Source organism: Homo sapiens, chromosome 5, assembly GCF_000001405.40.
Source record: "Homo sapiens chromosome 5, GRCh38.p14 Primary Assembly".
Taxonomy (NCBI): domain Eukaryota; kingdom Metazoa; phylum Chordata; class Mammalia; order Primates; family Hominidae; genus Homo; species Homo sapiens.
The window spans coordinates 34482441-34494172 of NC_000005.10; the positions used below are offsets into that span (position 1 = coordinate 34482441).

An 11732-nucleotide genomic window follows, 5' to 3' on the forward strand; every position below is an offset into this window, starting at 1 on the left:
GCAGGGTGCAAAAGGCTGTCACCTTGACTCTCCAATGAGCTAGTTTAATACTTAGCCATCTGTGGATGGCAACTGCTAAATGAGCATTAATTGTAACACACCGCTGGATGCTACCATGGGGTCAGAGCCCAAAAGTGCTTGCCCCAGCTCCTCCACCTGCCCATCTGTATGCTCCCCATCCCGTAAGGGGTTTGAGCATGCAGTGGCCAAGCAAATGAGCCATATCCCTGTCTCTAGTTCTGCAAGGGGGTTGGAGAACTCTCCTGTTTCAAGACCAGTAATGGGACAGCACAGACAGTTGTGTAAGAACAGCAGGACTGAGCCCCGTGGGAGTGAAGGGAAGGAGAGTGAGGGCCAGGTCTGGGAGGACTGGGACAGTGACAGCAATGGGCTTATGAGGTAAAGGAGGGTTAAGGAGAAAGGGGAAGGGGTAGATGGGTGGCCCCATGACTCAGTCCATTGGCTACAACACAACACTGCAGCCTGGGGACTTGCAAATAACAGAAATTTACTCCTCACAGTTCTGAAGATTAGAAGTCTAAGTTCAGGGTGTCAGCCAGTTTGGGCCCTGGTGAAGACCCTCTTCTGGGTTGCGAATGTCTTCTTCTGGTTGTGTCCCCACATTGTGGAAAGAGAGCTTGCTGAAGTTCCTTTTATTGGGTCACTAATCCCATCATGAGGGCCCCACCCATGAGACCTAATTATCTCCCAAAGGTCCCGCCTTCTTATACTGTCCCACTGGGGGTTAGGACTTCAACATGTGAATTTCAAGGAGATGCAAACATTCAGTCCATAGCACCCAGCCACAGTGACAACACATGACATACACAGGGGCAGAACACAAAGGGAATTCCAACTTGCTGCACCTTCCAATTAGAAACACACATTCTGTCCCTGCAGAAACTCTGCCGTCACAGCCCATTTGGGTTCTAACAGGACTCATACAGGCTTTCTGAAATCAACTTACACCATTTCTGCAAAGCCATGTTAGATCACCTGTTTCAAGCCCCACTTGATGACAGAAAGGCTGCTGGAAGAGTCCAGATCTCTACACCTCCACCTTGTCTTGCCTACTCACTGCCTGAAGTGGGGGGTCAGGGTGCAATTTTTGGTGGGAGAGGGTTAGAAACATGTTTTTGCGGTGTCTTTCAAAAATCACATGACCAGAAAACAAAAACACAAACTACTGTGATTCAACTCAGAAAGCACAAAAGGGCTTTCAGCTCAACAGCTGGTGGAGAGCGCTTGCCTCCCTTCTCTCTGCGGGGTCTCAGAAGCCAGACAATAGACCTGTGATTTTGTTGCAGCTGTAAACTCTTTCGTGGCTATACGATGAGTCAGTAGTTTTGTATTCATAATCATTGTCCTTTAAGATGCTACAGGTTAATTCAAAAAGACATTTAATGTTACATGAAGGCTGTTTGCTAACATTTTTCATGCCCCCAAACAAAAGGAAATTCACATTAGAGAACTGAATTCATTTGCCAACAAGAGGTCTCATCCAAAACTAAACTATATTTAATAACAACAACAAACATTAGGACAATTTGCAATTTAGAAAGAACTAAAACTTAGGTTCAAGTTCTGGGGTTTGCTAGTAATCCATCCTGAGAGGTCAAGGGAGTTCATCATGGCTCTTTGACTTAGTTTCCTCTTCTGCAAAATGAGGAGTTTGAAAGGGGTGGCTTTATAATTATTTGTTAGCAACACCCAATTTTTCCCCAGAACTTTAATATTAAAAAGCAGATGTAAATATAAAATATATGTTTATATATATAAACAACCTCAAATACATATTGGATTATAAAATAATGAAACAAGGCTGTTTGTGTATCTTATTTTAGTTGTCATGTATCACAAAATATCCTGATTGATCCAAAAGGGTGTTTGCAAAGCCTTCCTTCCTCTCTCTCTCTCTTTCTATTTTTTCAGTGATTGCCTTGCCAAATAAGGGCACTCATTAACTAGAGCAGAACAGGTTTGAATCTGAGGTCATCAAAACCAAAATGAATCCAAAAAAAACCTAGCTAATCAGGCAGCATATAGTAATGCATTTGGGTGTGTCAGTAAATTTGAATATGCATTTTAATAGCACTTTTTATCACAGGCTAAAATGTATTTTTAATGACATTGGAATAAAACATTTGAACAGCCATCCAAGCCCCTCTGTGGAGCCCTGGTGTTCACAGAGCACTCTTTGAAATCCACTGGGCTGCATGTTGTCTAAGGCAGGGGTCTCCAACCCCTGGGCCATGAACCAGTACTGGTCCCTTCCCTATTAAGAATCAGCAGCACAGCAGGAGGTGAACGGCGGGCAGCTGACATTACTCCCTGAGCTCTGCCTCCTGTCAGATCAGTGGAGGCATCAGATTCTGATAGAAGCACAAACTCTATTGTGAGCTGTGCACGTGAGGGATCTAGGCTGTGCACTCCTTATGAGAATCTAATGCCTGATGATTTGTCACTGTCTCCCATCATCCCCAGAGAGGACCATCTAGTTGCAGGAAAACAAGCTCAGCTCCCACTGATTCTAAATGTAATGTGCCTGAATCATCCTGAAACCATCACTCCTCCCCAACCTCTCCAACCTCCCCAACCGCAACCCCTTCCAAATTGTCTTCCACAAAACTGGTCCCTAGTGCCAAAAAGGCTGGGGGCTGCTGTTCTAAGGTGTCTTGTGGTCTGACTGTCTGTGATCACTGCCTTTTCCCTGCAACCTCACCTCCCACCCCCACCCCTTCATTCACTCTAGAAATATTTATTGAGTCCTCCTGTGAATCAGGCGCAGTTTAGGCCCTTGAGACACTTCAGTGAAGCTACCCAAATATGTACACAAGCCCTGCACAGGAACTTTTATTTTTTATTTATTTATTTTGTTTTGTTTTGTTTTTTGAGATGGAGTTTCACTCTTGTCACCCAGGCTAGAGTGCAGTGGGGCATTCCTGGCTCACTGCATTCAACCTCTCAGGTTGAAGTGATTCTCCTTCCTCAGCCTCCCACGTAGCTGGGATTACAGGCACCTGCCACCATACCTGGGTAATGTTTTTGTGTGTGTTTTTAGTAGAGATGGGGTTTCACCATGTTGGCCAGGCTGGTCTCAAATTCCTGACCTCAGGTGATCCACCTGCCTCGGCCTCCCAAAGTGCTGGGATTACAGGCATGAGCCACTGCACCTGGCCACCCTGCACAGGAACTTTACCCTTGCAGCTGTTTTCGTTTACAGCTTTGAAAACAATTCTAGTTGATACTGTATCAGATACAGCCCAATTCTTTCCTGAGTGACTGGGTTTCCCACTCAGTTACCAGTTCCTGGACATTAACAGAAGATGGCAGACAATTCATCAACTGGCTGACAGGCAGCTGCTCAAGACAAGAGGTCTGTTTGTACACTTTCCTCTCTCATATGTTAGCTAAACTGAAAGAACAACTAAGCAAGCAAGGTTGCCTAGCCAAGCAAGATCCTCACCAGATCCAAACACTTCTTTGAGTTTTGGGAAGGCTTATGGGTTAAATTAAGCCATTAACATTTGGTCCATCTTGTGTCTGTATTTTGTATTTCTTCAAGATGCTTTAAATAAGGTTGTAGATTTTTAGAAAATATGGTTCCTTTTTCAGAAAAACTCGGGATCCTTCCAAAATGCTCTCAAAGCCTGACCAACTGGTGGGTAGCCTTTGTAAACCTGGAGAATAATGGATTGTTGGAGAAGCCTGTTTTATTAAGTCTCTTTCCCTTTGGAAGCAAACCTCAGAAGCCCCATCCAACTAATGGTGGGATATTTAATTATTCCAGATTCTTCCAGAATGTCACTGGGGACTCAGATTATGTCATTTGGGTTCTGTGATGCGACTTTTAACGGGGTTGTCTCCCAAGAACAGGAGTAAATACTCAGAATAAAAAGCTCGAGAATCCGTGCCCAGTAGGTGGCGCTGCTCTTCCTTCTGTTGGGATTCGATTCAGACCCGCTGGGAACAAAATCATCTGTTAGAAAGAGTATGCAGGAGGTTGGAGTAGGCAAACGTATCGGAGGCAGAAAGGCAAACAATTTTGTCAGCTCTCCTGACATACAGAAGATAATCAAAGCAGGCAAAGCAAACCACCCCAAAATTCACAGACTATTTGGCTTATATCTTTAAAGTATAAAAACATCCTGTACTGAATTTAATTTAATCAACAATGATAGAATGTTTAGAACGATGTAATCAACTGCTTGCTATTTTCCTGAAGTCTCCAAAGAGAGTGACTTCCAAGAGTACAGATGTTCCTTGACTTATGCGGCTACGTCTTGTAAACCCATCGTGAGCCGAAATTATCATAAGTAGAGAATGCATTTAATACTCCTAACCTACTGAACACCATAGCTTAGCCTAGCCTACCACAAACGTGCTGAGAACACTTCCATTAGCCTACAGTTGGGTGAAATCATGTAACACCTAAGCCTATTTTATCATGAAGTGTTGAATATCTCGTGTAATTTATTGAACACAGTACACTGTAGAGCACAGTATCAGTTGTCTGTCCTCATGACTTTGTTGCTGACTGGAGCTGCTGCTCACTACCCCTGCCTGGCATCATGAGAGAGCATTGTACTATATTATCACCAGCCCTGGAAAAGATCAAAGTTCAAATTCTGAAGTATAGTTTCTACTGAACACATATTTTTTCTGCACCATCGTAAATCTTAGGTCAAACCATGGTCAGTTGTGGACCTTCTGTATATGTCTTTGACCTCATTGCCCCAGGGGCACCCAAATCCCAGGAATGGCCTTCCAAGGGTACCTTAAATAAAAGTTAAAGGGATGAACAAGGGTGGTTGCCCAGACCAGAGGAGCGCTCTGAAAGCAGTAACATTTAATGCTCGAATGCCTCTACAAGAGTCGTCATGAGGTTGCACAAAAACATGTGGACATTTGCACTGAGAACGCTCTCTTTCCCAAGGCAACTCCGATCTTTGAGGAAATCCAATGGACCCTGCACCTTTCTAGTTCTGCCATTTGAGGCCTTGTGAAACAAGCCTGACTCGGCTTCTCGGTGACCAGTCCTTCAAATATTTGCCCACAGCTCTTATGTTTCCCTCTAAGTCTTTTCTCCTCCAAAATAAACACCATGGTTGTTTCAACATTTCCGTAGTGTACTAGCACAGTTCTATTAATACTTCAGTTGCAAGTTACAGAAACAGGCTCTGGTGAGCTTTACCTGAGATGTCTCATAGAATCAAAAGAGGAATTAAACATCTCCAACCTGAGAAGGAAGTTGCTGGGATTCAGAGCAGGAGTCAGCGTCCTCCTACTGCAGTCCTGCCATTCACGTAACTCATTGGTGACTTTCATGTCAATTTCAACTTCCTATTGAGATTCTGAAGACCTACCTGGGATTAGCCAACCCTGGGCAGGGGCCTGCGTCACATAACATAGACATGGCTACCAAGTCTCAATACAGAAAAGTGAGATCACATAGGTTATTTCTTGTTATTCTGATCTCTCCTCTGAGCAGGGGCTATTTATTAGTGTTTCCTTTACTGTGTGGGGCCAAGTACTGAGGGTGACTCTGACCACGCAGAGCAGAGCAGGACCATCATCCTCCTGTTCTGGACTCTATACTTTTATTATTACGGCCAAAGATAGTGAGCATTTTTTTTTTTTTTTTTTGATTCACATGACTCCTCTTGCCTGTTGTTATGTCACATCTCTTTCATCTTGTACTTCACTCGTTTGGTCTGGTGACTCTAAATGCCAGACCATATCCCTAAGAATTGTCATTGGAAACATCTGAGATGCTGTTCCAGCCTGCCAAAAGCTTTTGGATCTTCATTTTATCACCCATCATAGGATAAATGTATGCCAATACTACTTTTGTCTATTTATTTAGCAAAGTTTCATTGTATTTTGTTTTGTAAGAAACTGAGTTTAGCAGGAGAGATAATAGAGTCACTGAGCTACGCAGAGAAATCATAGAAAATGTGTAAGCGATCTAGTCATTCTACTTCTAGGAATTTATCATCAGAAATTGTCGGGGACATAAGCAGGTTTGAATGCTTACATTTTTGCCTCATTATTATTTATAACAAAAAAAATGAAGCCCATTTACTGCCAAACAGTAAGGGAATGTTTACATAAATTTTGATATATTAATTTAATAAAATATATTGCCACCAATAAAAATGTTGTTGACACATACATCCTCAAGACATCAGAAAATATTATAAAATACATATGCAATTTATTTAAGTTTAGAAGAAACTAAAACAAAAATCAATAATGTTTTGATTTTTGTCTTTTTATTTTTTTATTTGCCCCACCTTGGAGAAACTAATGCCTTTTTATTTTTAATAAAACATAAACTGAAGCAAATATACCAAAATGTTATCTGTGGGTTATCTCTGGATGATGGAGCTTTGGTGATGTTGTTGTCATCTTTATACCTTTCTCTATTTTTTTAACTTTATAATAAATATGTATTTCTTCTCTTATAGAAAATCTTTTTAAAAGAAAGCTTATTTCATGATCATTCACAGAACTTCACTATTGATAAATTCTTTGCATTTTTATGCTATGGGACTTTTTTTTTTTTTAAGCTGTGATAAAGCCCAGAGTTTCCTTGGCTTCTCCTACTCGTGTGCAGATAGCAGAGCCACCCCCGCCCCACCACCACCCTGTGTTACTAGACCTTCCTGTTGAGCCAGTCCTCCACCTTGGAACTGACAGCTCTGAAGCTTGATATCTTCACCCTCCTGTCCATCAACAGCTCCTCACAGTTTTGGTCATTGCTGTCCTCTACCTCGGGCTCAGCCTTGCCCATGTTCTGAGTTTATCAGGCCAGCAGCAGAAAGAACATCAGCATGTCAGCCTCAGACCTAGTGTGACCTGACATCATGTCACACGCCCATCTCCTGGGTTCTGTGTTCTGGGAAGAACCCTGGGTGTCATGGAGATTTTAAGTAAAAGGGTTTCTGTGCTTGGCAACCACAGAACTGAGCTTCTGCCTCGATTTCCCTATCATCATCACCTTACTTCCATATTAAGATTAGCCCTTGGGGCCCCAGCCTATTTGGCTGTTGTCTTGTCATCCCACCCAGGTCTTGCTAGTGATACCTTTATCCCCTCACCTTTCACGCCCTACCTGGGCTCCTCATGATCCCCCAGAGCCAATAGTGTCTGCCACCCGGGGTTTCTCCTTGTCTGTGCTCCTTGCTGGGCTGGGTGTCTGGCTTCTCTCCCTTTCCCAGTGTTTATTTTTCCCATGTGAGTGTCCTCCTCCTTTGCTGCCTGCCTGTGTCATCAAGGACTCAGGATGCCTCATGCTCCAACTAAGGCGCCCTGTGACATTGCACATGTTAAACATGTGCAAAACAGGAGGAGTTGGGGAGAAGTATTGGGGGGAGGGGATTATCTTTAAAATGTATTTTTTCAAGCCAGGTACGGTGGCTCATGCCTGTAATCCCAGCACTTTGGGAGGCTGAGGCAGGTAGATCACTTGAGGTCAGAAGTTCGAGACCAGCCTGTCCAACATGGTGAAACTCTGTCTCTACTAAAAATACAAAAATTAGCTGGGCATGATGGCGGGTGCCTGTAATCCCAGCTACTTGGGAGGCTGAGGCAGGATAATCACTTGAACTCAAGAGGCAGAGGTTGCAGTGAGCCGAGATCACACCACTGCACTCCAGCCTGGGCAACAAGAGCAAAACTCTGTCTCAAAAAAAAAAAAAATTAAAAAAGTATTTTTTATTATGAAAGTAGAAAATAAAAATTATATTTCTCTCACTGACAAATAACCTTCACTGCTTAATATCTTAGGTTTTCTTCTAGTCTTTTTGATTGCTATGTAATTTTTACAGTTGTTGAAACTACTTAAAGGACCCAGGAATGGTCTTGTCAGTCTTCTACTTTTTTCTTTCCCTTTCCTTCTCTCCCTTCTTGCCCGTCCTTTTTTGACTACTGGTACATAAGGTAAGTTGGAGTGAGGGGGAAGAGGTACAATTAATTAGCATCTAGTTATCCCATTACTAAACGTGGTTCCTTGACTGGGTTGATTTGTTTGGATGCGCAGCCTCCTTACAGGTACCAGGTACCAGGAGGAGTCACCCTCTATAGACTAGGGAACTTCACCTTCCGTGAGATTTAGTGGCTTGCTCCTCATGACACAGTTAGCGAGAGGCAAGGCTGAATTCAAGTGCAGGCTTCAAAGGCCATTTCTCTGTGTCCCTGTTGTAAGCACTGGGCCCATGGGATTTGACAACCATCAGCCTGGGCTCAGATTTCAAGTGGGGAAAAGTATCAGCAAGTGAGTGGAGCCGGAGGTGAAAGCAGCAGCAAGGAAACAGCGGCTGGCCGGGGGTGGGCAGGGGGCGGGGGTGGCAGGGGCGGGAGGGGAGGGTGGCGGGGGCAGTGGTGGCGCGGGGGGGTGTTGGCGGGGGCGGGGGGGCGGTGGTGGCTGTGGTGGGGGGGGGTTGGCCCCTCCTGGGCCCTATGCTGGGCTTTCTGGAGGAGCTCCACAGAGCCCGGGCCTATTTTCCCATTGGAGAAACCACTTTTGTGTTCTTAGACACAAACTTTGTTTTTAGTCTATTTGTCCCTTTCTGGTGGGCCATTGATCAGAGGAGCAGCCATGAGGCCCACCCAGCAAGAGCAGGCTTTGCATTTCTCTGGATTTGTATGTGTGTGTGTCTGTGTGTGTGTTTGTGTGTGTGTTTATTGTGGGGTGAGGGTTTCAATCACACACAGGATAGAAGGGAGTTCCCCAGGGCTCCCACCAAACTGCACAACCTTCACAGTAGCCAGTCCTCAGCAGCACTGGCTGTTCTTCTATCAGCTCCTCCTAGATCTTCTCCTTAGGCTTCTGAATGACTCCTCATTCATTTTCTCTGAAAAGAAGAAAAAAGTATCCTCAATTGCACTCATATTAGTGTCTGCCCTCTGGGAGTCGGCTTTTTCTAAGCTGAATGCATGCAGCAGACATGCAGAATAGACCGTGGGTGAGCCAGACGCTGGGGGGATGGCAGGGACAGCGGGAGCAGGCAGCCTGTCTCAAGATGTGGCCCTAGGCAGACTTCAGCGAGTCCTGCAGTAAACTGTTCATTTATTATCCCACAAATATTTACTCCAGAGCCACTAAGTGCTCGAGAGAGATGTGACACCATCTGCACAGCTTTCTAGTGACTGAATCCAGAGGTAAAGCTTTGAGAATCTGCGGCCCTGTGCTGCCAGGCTTAGCCCATGTGTCCCGGAAACCACAGTCTGCAGACAGGGCCAGGCAGCGACGGGGTAAATGGGGGACAAATAAAGATGGTGGAGTGCTGGTGACCTTAGTTCTGCAGCCAAATGCTTGCTCTAACTTCAAAATACCCTCCAACCCATTTGCTGCTCCATATAAACAATAGAGCTTGTCCAGAGCGCTTACAGGGCCTAAAGTCAGAAACGGCTTGAGCCAGAGGAGATTATTACGGTTAACTATTTTATCAAAAAGAGTGGAACCTGATGGAGCATCAAAATCATCGCTACCTTAAGATAATTTAAAAATGACTTTGTGCGGGAAAGGAGAGAGATGAGTTTCTTCCTAAACATGAAGATTAACGTTCTTTTACAGTTTGTAGTCTCACTTTCATGACAGACTAGTCAAAGGGAAATTGGGTAAAATCTTTTTTTTTTTTTTTTTTCTGAGACAGGGTCTTGCTCTGTCACCCAGGCTGCAGTGCAATGGCGTGATCATAGCTGACTGCAACCTCGAACTCCTGGGCTAAAGCAATCCTCCCACCTCAGCCTTTTGAGTAGCTGGGACTACAGGCACACACCACTGTGCCTGGCTCTACTTTTTTTTTTTTTTTTTGCGACCGAGTCTGTCTCTGTCGCCTAGGCTGGAGTGCAGTGGCGCGATCTCGGCTCACTGCAGGCTCCGCCCCCCGGGTTCACGCCATTCTCCTGCCTCGGCCTCCCCAGTAGCTGGGACTACGGGCACCCGCCACCTCGCCCGGCTAATTTTTTTTTTTTTGTATTTATAGTAGAGACAGGGTTTCGCCGTGTTAGCCAGGATGGTCTCGATCTCCTGACCTTGTGATTTTTTTTTTTTTTTTTAAGAGAGATGGGGTCTCCCTTTGTTGCCCAGACTGGTCTTAATCTTCTAGGCTAAAGGGATCCTCCTACCTAAGCCTCCCAAAGTGCTGGGATTACAGGCCTAAGCCACTGCACTCAGTGAAATCTAATTTTAAATTGCAAGTTTTCTGCGTCTCCATCCATTAGTATTTCCCATAAACACAAATATTAAAGTACATTATATCTTAATTCTCTCTTAAGAAGGATTATCCTTTTTTCTGAGTTTATAGACTTGTAATTATAAGGTATTATAATGGATTTCTTTTCTGAAAGGGTGATGATAATGAAAAATAGCTGCTCTTTTTTTAATTTTACTTTAAGTTCTGGCATACATGTGCAGAATGCGCAGGTTTGTTACATAGGTATACACGTGCCATGGTGGTTTGCTGCACCCATCAACCCATCACCTATGTTAGGTATTTGTCCTAATGCTGTCCCTCCCCTAGTCCCCCACCCCCTGACAGGCCCCAGTGTGTGATATTCCCCTCCCTGTGTTCATGTGTTCTCATTGCTCAACTTCCAATTGTGAGTGAGAACGTGCAGTGTTTAGTTTTCTGTTCTTGTGTTAGTTTGCTGAGAATGAGGCTTTCTAGCTTCATCCATGTCCCTGCAAAGGACATGAACTCATCCTTTTTAATGGTTGCATAGTATTCCATGGTGTATATGTGCCACATTTTCTTTATCTAGTCTATCATTGATGGGCATTTGGGTTGGTTCCAAGTCTTTGTTATTGTGAATAGTGCAGCAGTAAACATACATGTGCATGTGTCTTTGTAGTAGAATGATTTATAATCCTTTGGGTATATACCCAGTATTGGGATCGCTGGGTCAAATGGTATTTCTGGTTCTAGATCCTTGAGGAATCGCCACACTGTCTTCCACAATGCTTGAACTAATTTACACTCCCAACAGTGTAAAAGTTTCCTATTTCTCCACATCCTCTACAGCATCTCTTGTTTCCTGAGTTTTTAATGATCACCATTCTAACTGGCATGAGATGGTATCTCATTGTGGTTTTGATTTGCATTCCTCTAATGACCAGTGATGATGAGCTTTTTGTCATATTTTTGTTTGGCCACAGCTGCTCTTTTTAAATCTTCTTATATTAAAAAATTGACAATCTTATGTTGGCCGCTGCTATGGTTCAAACGTTAGTGTCTCCCCAAAATTCATATTTTGAGATCTAATCCCCAATATGGCAGTTAAAAGAAGTGGGGCCTTTAGGAGGTGATTGAGTCAAAAGGATGGATCCCTCATGAATGGGATTAGTGCCCTTATAAAAGAGGTCCAAATGAGCTTATTCACCTCTTCCACAGCATGAGGACACAGTGAAAAGTTCATCTCTGAACCAGAGAGCTAGTGCTCAGCAGACACGGACCCTGCTGGAAACTTGGTCTTGAACTTCTCAGCATCCAGAACCATCAGAACTGAATTTCTATTGTTTATAAGCCACCTAGGTTATGGTATTTTGTTACAGCAGCCTGAACAGATTAATATTTTTAAAATTTTTTTATCCTAATATTTTTTAATGTCACAGCAAACCTAGAAGTGCCTCTTTTTCACACCCTCCTATCCCCCCCAAAAAAATCAAGAAACAGAAATGCAGCCCTATGTGTGATAAACCTATGTAATATTTGCAACCCCAACTG

General features: G+C 43.8%; 4 annotated features.

Moving 5' to 3' along the window:
* Positions 448-991: an enhancer, noted in NCBI's record as "OCT4-NANOG-H3K27ac hESC enhancer chr5:34482993-34483536 (GRCh37/hg19 assembly coordinates)". NCBI's record gives its function as "activates a minimal SCP1, AML or CMV promoter by ChIP-STARR-seq in primed H9 embryonic stem cells {active_cell/tissue: H9 hESC(primed)}" and the evidence as "EXISTENCE:reporter gene assay evidence [ECO:0000049][PMID:30033119]".
* Positions 992-1534: an enhancer, noted in NCBI's record as "OCT4-NANOG-H3K27ac hESC enhancer chr5:34483537-34484079 (GRCh37/hg19 assembly coordinates)". NCBI's record gives its function as "activates a minimal SCP1, AML or CMV promoter by ChIP-STARR-seq in naive and primed H9 embryonic stem cells {active_cell/tissue: H9 hESC(naive and primed)}" and the evidence as "EXISTENCE:reporter gene assay evidence [ECO:0000049][PMID:30033119]".
* Positions 3846-4005: an enhancer, noted in NCBI's record as "active region_22462". NCBI's record gives its function as "activates an Ori minimal core promoter by ATAC-STARR-seq in GM12878 lymphoblastoid cells {active_cell/tissue: GM12878}" and the evidence as "EXISTENCE:reporter gene assay evidence [ECO:0000049][PMID:35858748]".
* Positions 8474-9049: an enhancer, noted in NCBI's record as "H3K27ac-H3K4me1 hESC enhancer chr5:34491019-34491594 (GRCh37/hg19 assembly coordinates)". NCBI's record gives its function as "activates a minimal SCP1, AML or CMV promoter by ChIP-STARR-seq in primed H9 embryonic stem cells {active_cell/tissue: H9 hESC(primed)}" and the evidence as "EXISTENCE:reporter gene assay evidence [ECO:0000049][PMID:30033119]".